At 41.3% G+C, this 12,391-nt stretch overlaps 1 protein-coding gene across 18 annotated transcripts in view; it reads left to right on the forward strand.

Moving 5' to 3' along the window:
* The window catches only part of HECW1 (HECT, C2 and WW domain containing E3 ubiquitin protein ligase 1), a 453,355-nt gene that overhangs the window by 244,889 nt on the left and 196,075 nt on the right, over nt 1-12,391 (forward strand). For 17 of the 18 annotated variants that reach the window (NM_015052.5, XM_017011883.3, NM_001287059.2 and 14 more), the window contains one exon: nt 3,351-3,445. In NM_015052.5, coding sequence (NP_055867.3) covers nt 3,351-3,445 — 95 coding nt within the window. Of the gene's footprint in view, nt 1-2,805; nt 2,900-3,350; nt 3,446-12,391 lie in introns of those variants that run through there. The other variant, XM_011515225.2, reaches the window with a different exon arrangement.

Below are 12,391 nucleotides of genomic sequence, written 5' to 3' on the forward strand. Positions count from 1 at the left end.
AGATTGGTGGTTACCAGAGACCAAGAAAGGTAGAAGGAAGAAGAAGATGAATAGAGATTGATTAATGGGTACAAATATACAGTTTGATAGAAGAAATAAAATCTAGTGTTTGATACATCAATAGAGTGACTGTAATTTATAATAATTTATAATTTGTAATTTATAATATGTTTTTATATATTTATATGTATTTATAATATGTTTCCAAATGGCTACAATAATTCAAATGTCTCTAGCACAAAAAAAGACAAATAATTAAGATGATGTATATCCCAATTACATTCATTTGATCTTTACAAATTATATGAATGTATTCAATCATCACATGTATCCTGAAAATATGTACATCTATTATGTATCAATAAAAAACTATAAATGGAAGAAACAAAGAAGAGTACAGAGTTTGAAGTGTTCCATGAATTCTTGGCTCAAAATATGCACTGATCTTTTCATCTAGCAATAGAGTTCAATGCAAGATTGTATGTAATTTCCCTGACCTTTTTGCTCAAAGGCATTGAAATAATTTTTTCTTTAAATGGAAATCTAGTAGTGCCCGTTTGGGATTCCTGGTACCTAAAATTCCTTTCCACCCAACTGAGATGAAGGTGAGGCCATTTGGCCCCTCCATGCTGATCCCACCGGCACCTACAGGCAGAGTAACTCATGCACTAGGCAACACTAACTCATTGTGATTAACTAGATAGATGGCTTACTGCTTTATTCAGAGTCCTTCCCTGATCCCTGACTTATGGGAAACTTGCCTCTCAGGCCAACACAGTATTGGATCTGAGTGTGTAGACCTAACATGGGGACAACTTTGAGGTGTCTTGGAGAATAAGTACAGAACTGGGTTATAAGATTGTCCACCAAGAGCTTGAAAAGACAATCAACAGACATGTGAAAGAACTATCGAGAAAGTGACTCAGGAAGGAAACTCAAAGTACAGGCATATCTGAAGTAAGAACACATCCACTAACAGAGGGACTGGTTAGCATCCAGGCATCACCCAGGTAATGGAAAACCTGAGCAACTGCAATTAAATGGCTTCAAAAAAATTTAAATAGCTGATTAAAATTTAATGAAAAAGTTTAACCCTACTAATAATCAAATAAATGAAACAAAAATAATAATCGGATTCTATTTTAAGCCTATTTTTAAGTGATGATGCTCAGTGCTAACAAGCGTTCTATGAGATGGTCAGAGTCACATTTCCTGATAGAAGTGTAAAGTGTTATTTGGAAAGCAATTTGGCCCCAGGAAGGGAGGATCCTTAAAATATATTCTTTTTTTTTTTTTTTTTTTTTTTTGAGACTGAGTCTTGCTCTGTTGCCCAGGCTGGAGTGCAATGGCGTGATCTTGGCTCACTGCCACCTCCACCTCCCGGGTTCCAGCAATTCTCCTGCTTCAGCCTTCCGAAGTAGCTGGGATTGCAGGAGTGCACCACCACGCCCAGCTAATTTTTGTATTTTTAGTAGAGATGAGGTTTCACCATGTTGGCCAGGCTGATCTCAAACTCCTGACCACAAATGATCCACCCACCTCGGCCTCCCAAAGTGTTGGGATTACAGGCGTGAGCCACCGTGCCCGGCCCATATCTTTTAACCTAAAGAAGACTACTGTAATATTCGTATCTACAGCATTGAGGAAACCTTTACATATCAGTTAGGTTTATGTTTAGCTACATATAACAGAGATCCTAAAATAACAATGGTAAACTGCATAGGTGTTATTCTGCCAGGGAGGCTGCAAAATGTAGTACTTTAGCTGGACATTATCAATCAAAATAAAACTGAGATTCTGTTATTAAGGAGGAAAGGTAGAATGGATGCCGGGTAGGTATCTAGCGATTTTTGCTCCATTGTCCTAGGGAGAAAATTTGAACTTAAAAAATAATTTGTAAAAAGTAATTGATTTTCAGAGAAAAGCCTGAATTTCCAAATATAGGAAATATTTGCAATGTGTAAATCTATTCAGTTGTTCTGTATAATAAGTAATGTTGTTTGAGGAGTTTTAAATGATAGTTGGCCATGCTTATTTCATAATGTCAATTTTTTAAAAAAGCAAAATGTATTATTCTATAGTTTATAGTCTCAATTATGCAAAAATCTCAGAAGATTGTTATTTCATTTATACTTATCTTCATTTTTCGTATTTTCCATTCTGAGCACATTTCAAATGCATGCTAATAAAATTGTAGACATTATTTTTAAAATGATAATTGAAGGCAAATTTCCATATTTGAGAAAAAATATCTCAAATTGGAGATTTCTCATATTGTTTCAAACAAAATATAAGGGACCAAGACATAGCCTGGTAATTTTTTTAAATTTTAAGAAAACAAATCCTATAAACAGTGAATTGGGGAAAGCAAATCACCTTCAAATGAACTAAACTCATGTTGGCTACAGATCTTGTCCTCTAGGGAACTAAATGCCAGAAGGAAAAGGACTGATGTTGTCATTTAGTCATCACATCATCACAATCACTAACATTTACTGAGCACTTAATTGAATCGAAGCACTTTTATTTGCTTAACCAACGTCTTATGAAGTCCTATTTTAACAGGGGGTACAGGGACTTATTCATTGTCTCACAGATTGTAAATAATGGAGCTGAAATTCAAACCCAGTGTGATCCCCCTAAACTCTTTACATTCTGCTTAACCATTTATAGAACTTTCTTTTTTTTTTTTTTTAAATGGAGTCTCACCCTATTACCCAGGCTGGAGTGCACTGATGTGATTATAACTCTCTGCAGCATTAAAGTCCTGAGCTCAAGTGATCCTCCTGCCTCAGCCTCCCAAGTAGCTGGGAACTACAGATGCGTGCTACCACTGCCAGCTACATCTATAGAACTTTGAAGGAAACAAATTGTGATGCAAAGAGGTTATCATTGATGGGTACAGGAGTTTAGAAAATATGCCTCTCTCCTATGTACTTCAATAACTTCTCAAAGTCTTTCTGCAAATTACCAAGATATTAATCACAATGAATTAAATAATAGGACATTACAGAAGAAACAGACAGGTGATAGGCATCCACCCACCTCACATCTTAGAACTAAGTGTTTTAAATCAATGACCTCTAATGGGGTAGGATGGATGCTGAGAAGTCTAAATAATGGACTTAACTTGGATACAAAAATGTTAAGGCCAGAACAATTTTTCATGTCACAGTTTTAAGAAGTCAGACCTGTCCTTGAGGCCACATGAGGAGCATCATTGTCGAGTGTGGCCTGGCTTGCTCGTGGGGGAATTATGTTGCAGTTCTTAGAGATGTCCTCTGTGGCCATAGCTGTCTCTCCCTGGGTTACACCCTACTTCTCAGTCTCATTTTTTGTTTGTCTTTCAGCTGAAACTAAGATCTGCTTCAAATACTACCATGGAGTGAGTGGGGCCCTGCGAGCAACCACCCCCAGTGTCACGGTCAAAAACTCGGCAGCTCCTGTAAGTCTCATTTCTCCGTCTTTGGTTAGACCTAACTCTGGTCTTTCTTCACTTTCCTATTTTGTTCTTGTGCGTGCGTGTGTGTGTGTGTGTGTGTGTGTGTGTGTGTACGTGTACATACACACATATGGAGATATACTGATAGATTGATTATGAATAAATGGAAAGACACCTCAAAATGGTCAAGAGGAATGAGATCCATAGTCGACCTTATTAAAGCTCATGCTACACTTGTGTGTTAGGGAGGAGCCAAGCTTCTTTATTTTCCTTAGATGGCCAAATGTTTCTAATAGAGACATGTGCAATCACAGTGAAGAAGCCTTTTCTTTGGATCACATTTTTTAATTGTTTGGTTTTAAATATTTATATTTTCTTATGTTTTTATTTCTTTTAGTCTTGTAAATAAATTAATGGAGTAGGATTTATTGCCTCAGGTTGATTTTAGTCATAGAATTATAACATGATAGGCCTGGAAAGACCAGAATCTCTCACCCTTCTCTGTGTATAAATGAGGACAGTGGCCAAGGAGCCTAAATAATCTATCTCAGGTCACAGAACTCGTTGCAGATCCAGGATTTAAGTCACTTCTTTTGTTCCCTGCTGTGTGGCTTTGCTCAGGCCTGTGGTAATAGATGCCATCTTCCTAAGTTACAATCCAGTTTTAATCTTTGTAGTGCTTCTCACTTAGTTCTTAATGCATCTGATTAGGCTGAAATGCACTGAGAAATGGCATTCCTTTTCCTTTTCACATAAATTTTAAATGACCAACTGGGGAGGCTGGACAGAAACCAGTGGAGGACTTTGTCATGCTAGTGGAAATAAAAAAGACTCTCTCTTTTTTTTTTTTTTTTTTTTTTTTTTACATTAAAAAAAAAACAGGCCAGGCGCAGTGGCTCACGCCTGTAATCCCAACACTTTGGGAGTCCCCAGGCAGGCGGATCACTTGAGGTCAGGAGTTTAAGACCAGCCTGGCCAACATGGTGAAACGCTGTCTCTACTAAAAATACAAAATTAGCCAGGCATGGTGGCAAGCGCCTGCAATCCCAGCTACTTGGGAAGCTAAGGCAGAAGAATCACTTGAACCCAGGTGCAGTGAGCAGAGATCGCACCACTGCACTCCAGCCTGGGCAACAAGAGTGAAACTCCGTCTCAAAAAAAAAAAAAAAAAAAAAGAGAGAGAGAGAAAGTATTTGACATGAAATATGAATGATTCAGAAAGGACTTTGACTCCAAAAAATATTCCATTTTGCTGCTTTGCAAATCAGTTCTGCAGCATCCTGAAGATGAGCTAATTGAGGCCTTGGTAGTAAGCAGTAAGGTAAGCAGGCCCGAGGCCCAAAGCCTGGCTGCCTCCATCCTCGGCAGGACTGGACACTGAACTGGGTTTCCCATCCCGGAACTCATAGCGGGAAGCGCAGTGGGAAGAGAGGGAGAGGCACATGTGCTTTTGACGGCTTCGCTGTTTTTCCCTCACTGGCCATGCAGATTGGAACGTGATTCCTGTCTGACTCGGACAGCAATTTAAGTGTGAGAATCTAGGGAAGTGTCCTCAGAGTGCCAGAACCTCTCTTCCAGGCCCGTTTGTTTGGGCATCCCTCAAAAGAGGGTACCCCTTAAAACCAGACATGTCCTGACACCTGTTAGCCAATCATTGAGGGTGGAGTGACAACTAAATCAAGGTAGCTTAGAGACAGCTAAATCGAGGCAGAAAAGAAAAAGTGAACCAGAAGCTAGGGAGACAGAGCAGGAAGGCACTGAGCACACAACAGGCAGAGAAGGAAGGAGGCAGGAAGTGGAGTGAAGCCAATTAGGGAAAACCCTTCCACTGCAGGCCTGGCCTCTTGCCAACACACAGCAGTTCACTGAATGAGGCAGACACAAGGATCCCTTAGCAGGAATGGGCTGTGCCCACTGATGGGACTGGCCTGTTGGCTCAAGGCTCGTAGGGGAGAGGAGTTCCTCACCTTCTTCTGCTCTGGAATGATACTGTGGGTGTGTTGGCCAGCCCTGGAATTCAAATTCTTACCTGAAGCACTTTTTCTTATTTAAATAAAGCTCCCTAGAGCATTTGTCGTCTCTGAACTCAGCCTGCTGGAGACTCCAGATGTTCACCTGCTGCTCAGACCAGTGCAAAATGTGACACATCATCACAGTGTTGTGCAATGTAGGCTTAAAATTAAGCAAGAGGCCAACTGCCCAGAAAATGGCCTCTAAAGTATGATGTACAGCCCCTTAGGGCAGGATAAATTTTCAACAAGCATATGCTCCCCAAGGGCTGCCATCACCAGAAACAAAGGCTTGTACCTCAGAAGAGGAAATGAGATGCTTCCATCACACTGTTGACATAAGGTTCAGCAGGTGCCTGATTGCTACTGCCCTGACCTCATCTTTGTCATTCCACATGAGCTGCTGCTGCTCATACTTCAAACTCTGGCATCTTGAAATATTTTGACATATTGCTGTCACCCTGATTTTTATCTCCTTAATGATTTTGTCACACAAATCAGTAGACACTTGGGTTGACACTTGAATGTACATCCTGCAGACAACTTCTAGTCCCCAAGCATGTGAGAGCTCGATCGCATAGCCCCTCTGCCACCAGGGACAAAGAGAGAAATCCTGGGCTCCTATTGTCATGGTGAAAATGAGTCCCTGGAGTCCCAGGGCAGAAGGCAGTACACACAATCCCACAGGACTGTATTTTCACGGGCAATTAGGTTTCATAGGAGCCACTGGGAGGAGCCCCCTTTGTTTGATGGCGTGGCACACTTTTCAAAGCTGTTTATCACGCATTATTCTAGTTGATGCCCAGCACATCTGTGGAGAGAGGCAGGAACTACCCTTCTGGTTAAGTGATCATTTGGCTATATGGTGATGGAGCAGAACCACATTTCGCTTATACTTTTTGCAACCCAGCTCAGTTTGGGTATAATCTAGCAACTTTCCGGGTTAAATAAGCCTTTGCAGTCTCGTCTGGGGACTTGAGCACACAGTTTCTAAGGGGAAATGCTGTGAGGTTTCCCTCTATCAATTTGTTGATAAACTTGGAGTGTCAACTTCTAGGTTGAGGATTGCTGCTGCTGCATTCATCTCTTATGAAGAGTTGCTGTGTATTGCCATTATATCATGTCCCCAAAGTCACTGAGTTGGTCTGTGACAATACGCTAAACCTACCATTCTTTGAAAAGGAGGAACAAGCTGTCACATGCTCCTTTGGTGTAATCAGCGCTTTAATTTTCTGAGCATTGTATGGTCTCACGATGCATCAATTCTTTTTCTCATTGTCTTGTTCCCTCTCATCTTTGTCTTTGTCCCATGGGCAACTGTTGAGGTCCTTGTTTAAAAAGAGGTTGTCTTCTACTCTTGTCTTTCTGGGGCTCTCATTTATTGTATATCAGAAACTATGATGGATGTGCTTATAGAGATAAATGAAATATAAGCCCTGTCACTGAGAACTCACGGTTACTCCATTATAAATTATAATACTATATAAAGTCTCCAGTACTGGAGCGTGAAGCCTGCTGTGCTGATGTATAGAGAAAGCCGTGACCAGGCACCTGCAGCAGCTGTGCTGGCTGCGGAGGAGGGGGCGTGGCCTGAGGCAGGCGCCATGAGTGGGCCTTGGCCATGCCTTGAAGACAGACAGGCAAGGCCAGCAGAAGGGATGGCCTGTACAAAGGCACGGGGTGAGAAATGGCTCAGGCCTGGCAGGGAAGGAGACCTAGTTGTCTTAGGTTTAAAGAATATAGGACTTATTGTCCCTATATATCTTCCTGTTTTTCATACTTTTTGTGTCTTATTAGTAGCACCTATCACGTTTTATGTCTTTCTTTTATTTTCTGTAGAAAATCACTGTCAAAGCAAGCTCTTCCTCTCCATATTCTGGCCCTTGCTAACTCCCCCTTGTGCATTACCATTACAGTCTTCTTAAATAAGCCCCATGATATATTTTTCTTTCTCTGATTATACATCAAAAAACAGAAATCAGCCCATCACGACAGTTTGCCAAAGACAGGGTGGGTAAACTGTCCTTAGCCCAACACACAGTCCACTGAAAATAACCAGGCTGCCCTGCTGGGTCTAGACCTGACAGTGAGTTTTCACATCCTCCTCTTCCCACTCTCAGGCACCCAGCCGGCATCATCTGTAGGGGCTGCTGGAGGGAGTGGGGGCCCTCCCTTTGCCTGCCGGTTCTCCTGCAGTGCCGGAGACTCTGATGCAGTCTGAAGCTGTTGGTGTGAGCCAGGTAAGTGAGAGTCTTTCAAGTCCCGAGCATACTGCTCCCACACCTGGTTTATGAGACCCTCCCTACAGAGCGTTCACCTGGCAGTGCAGTGGGCCTCCTCCCCACCCACTCTGAGGCCTGGGACTGCGGCCTCCAGATAGAAAATAGGTAGCTGGGGAATGACTCTGGTAGAGTCCAAGCAATCGGGAAAGGCCACCAGCATGCAGGGCAGGCTGAGGACATGACATTCCCACCCGTGTGGGGCCATCTACTCTGGAGTAGAGACTTCTCTAGATTTAGAGGCTGGGTCATGTGTAGTCAAAGATGTATTTCTTATGTTGTCTTTATCAGCATTAAAATGTGTGGAAAACCCATCAGGATTATGTTACACTGGATTATTCTTATTCTTACCTCAGATTGCTATTGTTTATTTATTTACTTCATATTCTGTATCTTCTGGCTCTTTCAATGAGAAGTTGGAAGTAAACATAGGAAGGTCCTCTTCTTCTTCCTTCATGTTAATCTAGTGCCTCTGCAACCAAGCTTTTGATAATAACTGAACAGCATAACATTCAAAGTAAAGTTATTTGCCAAAGAACAAAGAACGGCTGGGTGCAGTGGCTCACGCCTGTAATCCTAGCACTTTGGGAGGCCAAGGTGAGTGTATCACATGTGGCCAGGAGTTCAAGACAAGTCTGGCCAACATGGCAAAACCCCATCTCTATAAAAAAATAAAAAATAAAATAATATTAGCCAGCATGGTGGTGCATGTCTGCAATCCTAGCTACTTGGGAGGCTGAGGCACAAGAATCACTTGAACCTGGGAGGTAGAGGTTGCAGTGAGCCGAGATCACACCACTGCACTCCAGCCTGGTCGACAGAGCAAGACTGTCTCACAAAAAAAAAAAAGAACAAAGAACAAATTTAAACTATCTTTTCACTAGTTCATGTTTACAGATTCATATACTTGTCAGACCCCCTGAGCAGAGGTAAGAGTTGACACTATTCTCTTAAAAAAAAAGGCAACTCAATAGGACATTTCCACACCAATATAGGCTAAATTAGCACTCTAAAATAGGGCCAAGATTTTCCTCCTCCACATCAGTCTGAGTCTCCTGCAGTGGACAAATAATTGATAAATACCCTCCCTTCCCCAAATTCTAGGTCATTACCTTTGGCTATAGTAGCATTTTTCTTGGGGATTTTAAAAGTAGATATTTCAAAAAAAATTTCAAGTCATAATAAAGCAACTATGGACCAGCTGCTATAGGTTATAAAATGTCCTGGAAAATACTTCAACCAAGTTAGTAGCATTAGTAGCAAAAGGAATCCACAGGTTGCCGACTGATGGGACCAGCTACCTAGAATTGTTAGACATAAGCCAATTAATTTGGAAGACACCTCAACTTTATAATAAATGGTCTTGAGCCCTTGTGCTTGGCAGAGATTAAATGGCAAGACCAGGTTCCAATAAACATCAATCACCATGTATCTTCAATATTGGGGTGAAGGTCCCCAAAGTTGCCAAAGGATCCCCTTCATCCAGTGTGTCCAGATGAAGTCTCAATTTTACCCTTGAAATGTGTCAAAAAGGAGTATCCAAAAACTAATGGAGAAGGAGAGTTTGTTCTCTGTTTAATTGGGATGGACTGCATTGCCCCAGTGAGATGGACCCACCCCCTGAGATCCCGGGAGAGCAGGCAGCCTTACACAGACCTCAGAACCACAGGACTGCCCAAGATGCTATTTTCTCTTAATTGTAGTTTTCTATTCATTATGTTATGTAAAGAACTGTCTCTGCACAAAGAGGGACTTGGGGAAATTTCAGAGTCATTTTCCTCAACTCGTAAGAAAATGGGGCTTTCTAAGGATTTAGTTGGAATTCTGGCTTTCATGATATCACCAGGTTCATGGCACTATAGCCATGTTCTTAAACTTGCCTCATTTCCAGTTCTGATTTTGGAAACTTGGCCCCATTGTATTTTGGGAAAGTGACATGGCATTTATTTTTTGACTTGGATTTTATAATAGCCTTTGTGAATTGTTTTCCTGTTGCCTTACTATTACATCCAGAATTTATTTTTGCAGCATATCACCAATACTTAGCTAACCAGCACTAAAAGGAAACCTCATTAACAATACTATGATGAGACAAAATTTTGAGACTTAGTCCCTAATATTCTGAAAATCTGTTTTTAACTGAAGTAATTCTAGTTATGCTAGGGAAGCAAGACGTCTGAAGAAGTTATACAGTACAATATTCTATTTTTATTTATTCCCTTCATAAATGTCTGCTAGCCTTTTCTTAGAGGAGAATTTAAGAAAGCATTTTGATTTGTAGGAGCTATAGATTAAATGATACAGATAAAACACAATAAAAGTAATCTTGAGTGCTTGAGCTAGAATTACATACATGATTTATTTACATGCAAAGGATCAATGCTGCCCAGACATTTACTAGAGAGTTTTAGAATGACCTTTTTAAGGGGTTATTTTACAAGATCTTCTGACTATTGTTAACTTTTAAACTTTGTCTCCATTCTCAAAAGTCAAGGGTGGAATAGAAAAGGAGTTTCCAAGGGTGATATAAGTTGATGGTTAGATATCAACATAATGTATAATTTATTCTAGCTGAGAATCCACATCACATTTTTTCTCGCTGCTAATCTGGCAAATTGTTTTCTGATGCTCAAAGCCTCTTGCCTCTAATCTTCTTTTCCCAGAACCTGCTTCCACTTCCTCAGCCCTTCTGCTTCCACCTCTCCAGTCCATGCAACACTCTGCCCCTCAACCATGGAGGTCTGCTCAGAACAGTTATTCTGGGCATCTTTATGTAGTCTGTGCCTTCAGTGTCATTTATGTACTCAGTAAATATTTGTCAGTAAGCTCCTTGGGGCTAACCATTAGGCATGTAAAACCAAACAAGACAAATCCCCATGCTCATCAAGCCACCTGCCTAAGATACGGGCAAGTGTGTAGCGGGGAGACAGACAAGAAAACAGGCAATGACAGAGCACTATTCCATGCCTCTGGAGGTGGACAATATAGGGTACTTTGTAAGGACCAATTATGGGCAGGCCCAGAACATGATGCAGGGTTTTCCAGAAGGAGTAAGCTGAAATGTGCACACACCACAGCCATGATTTCTGATCAAGCCTTTTATTTCTTGTAAGCAAATTTAACCCAGAATATAGTGGCAGCTTATTCATAAATGTGTCTCCTGCAAAAGTCCCTTCAGGTTTTGATCAGACTAATTTCAGGTTTGATCAGCAGTGGGGACATTTGTACATTTGCTTTTTGGGCAAGGCATCAGGTGGACTTGCCCTTCTAGAACAGAAAGAAAGGGAAGGGATTCGGCATCCTCTCTCTAGATAATTTACCCAGGCCCTACTCACAATCTCTAACCTCTCAAAGAGGCATTTTGGAAGTTTAGATTCTATCCTAGCCCAACATTAAGGAATCTGTTCAGTTTGAGGGGAAGAGGTCCAGAGCTCACACTAACGAGGCATTCTGGGGTCTCAAGTCTGGAGATGCTGTTTTCTGAAACACCTTTCCCACCAGCTATGGTTCAGCTGCCATAGTGTAGGGGTGGGTGGTTTACATCCTTCCTGTCTGGACTCTAAGAAGCAAAACGCCAAATAGCATTCTGTGATCCCCAATAGTTGGTTCTAAACCTTCTCTTCAAGTTGCATTTTCTGTAGAAATGACATTAGAAAAAATTTATGGAAAGTGGAAATGGAAATCCTAATGGAAAGTGGAAATCCTTTCTATGTTTGTAAGAGCCACATTCTGAAATTGGGGTCAGGACATCTATGAAGCCCTGGTGTTTCATGGGCACATTTGCACATGTTGCTAGGAATGGATCCAAGGCACTCATCAGATAAACAGGGTTCATGGCTCCAGAAAGATAATGGACTTCTGTCACAGGAAATATAAATGTCACTCTTTGCTGACATAAAGAGACAATTTAGGGCCGGGCGCAGTGGCTCATGCTTGTAATCCTAGCACTTTGGGAGGCCGAGGCAGGCAGATCACCTGAGGTCAAGAGTTCGAGACCAGCCTGACCAACAAGGAGAAACTCCATCTCTACTAAAAATACAAAATTTGCCGGGTGTGGTGGCACATGCCTGTAATCCCAGCTACTCGGGAGGCTGAGGCAAGAGAATCGCTTGAACTCGGGAGGCGGAGGTTACGGTGAGCCAAGATCACGCCATTGCACTCCAGCCTGGGCTACAAGAGTGAGCGAAACTCCGTCTCAAAAAAAATAAAAAAATAAAGAGACAATTTGACAGTCTTGGTACTGTTAAAAGTCTACCTTTGCCTTTTTGGGAGAGAACACCTTAATCTTTGGCAGCACTATGAAAGCTGGAATTATTTATTTACTACCTAGGCATTTACTACCTGACCTAGAAATTGTGAATGAACACATCAAGATAAATATATTCATATGATGAATCTTGACATGAATATATCCAGTGACCTAGAAAAAAGAGGACGTGAAAATTAAATGAGGACTTCTTAAACAAAGGCTTTTCTCTTCTTTCTCTGCAGCAGGGTCCAAATGTTGACTTCTCAGGGATTAGAGGCAAGGAGCTTAGCACAGAATAGACAAAACGAAATGTTCACTTTCCCTAAAACAAAACGAAATGGATGAGTTCACAGGTGAAGTCTTTCAAATGATGGAGGGATAGATAAATCTGATACAGCTTAAGCTTTTAAGA

Source organism: Homo sapiens, chromosome 7 (assembly GCF_000001405.40).
Source record: "Homo sapiens chromosome 7, GRCh38.p14 Primary Assembly".
NCBI classification, from domain to species: domain Eukaryota; kingdom Metazoa; phylum Chordata; class Mammalia; order Primates; family Hominidae; genus Homo; species Homo sapiens.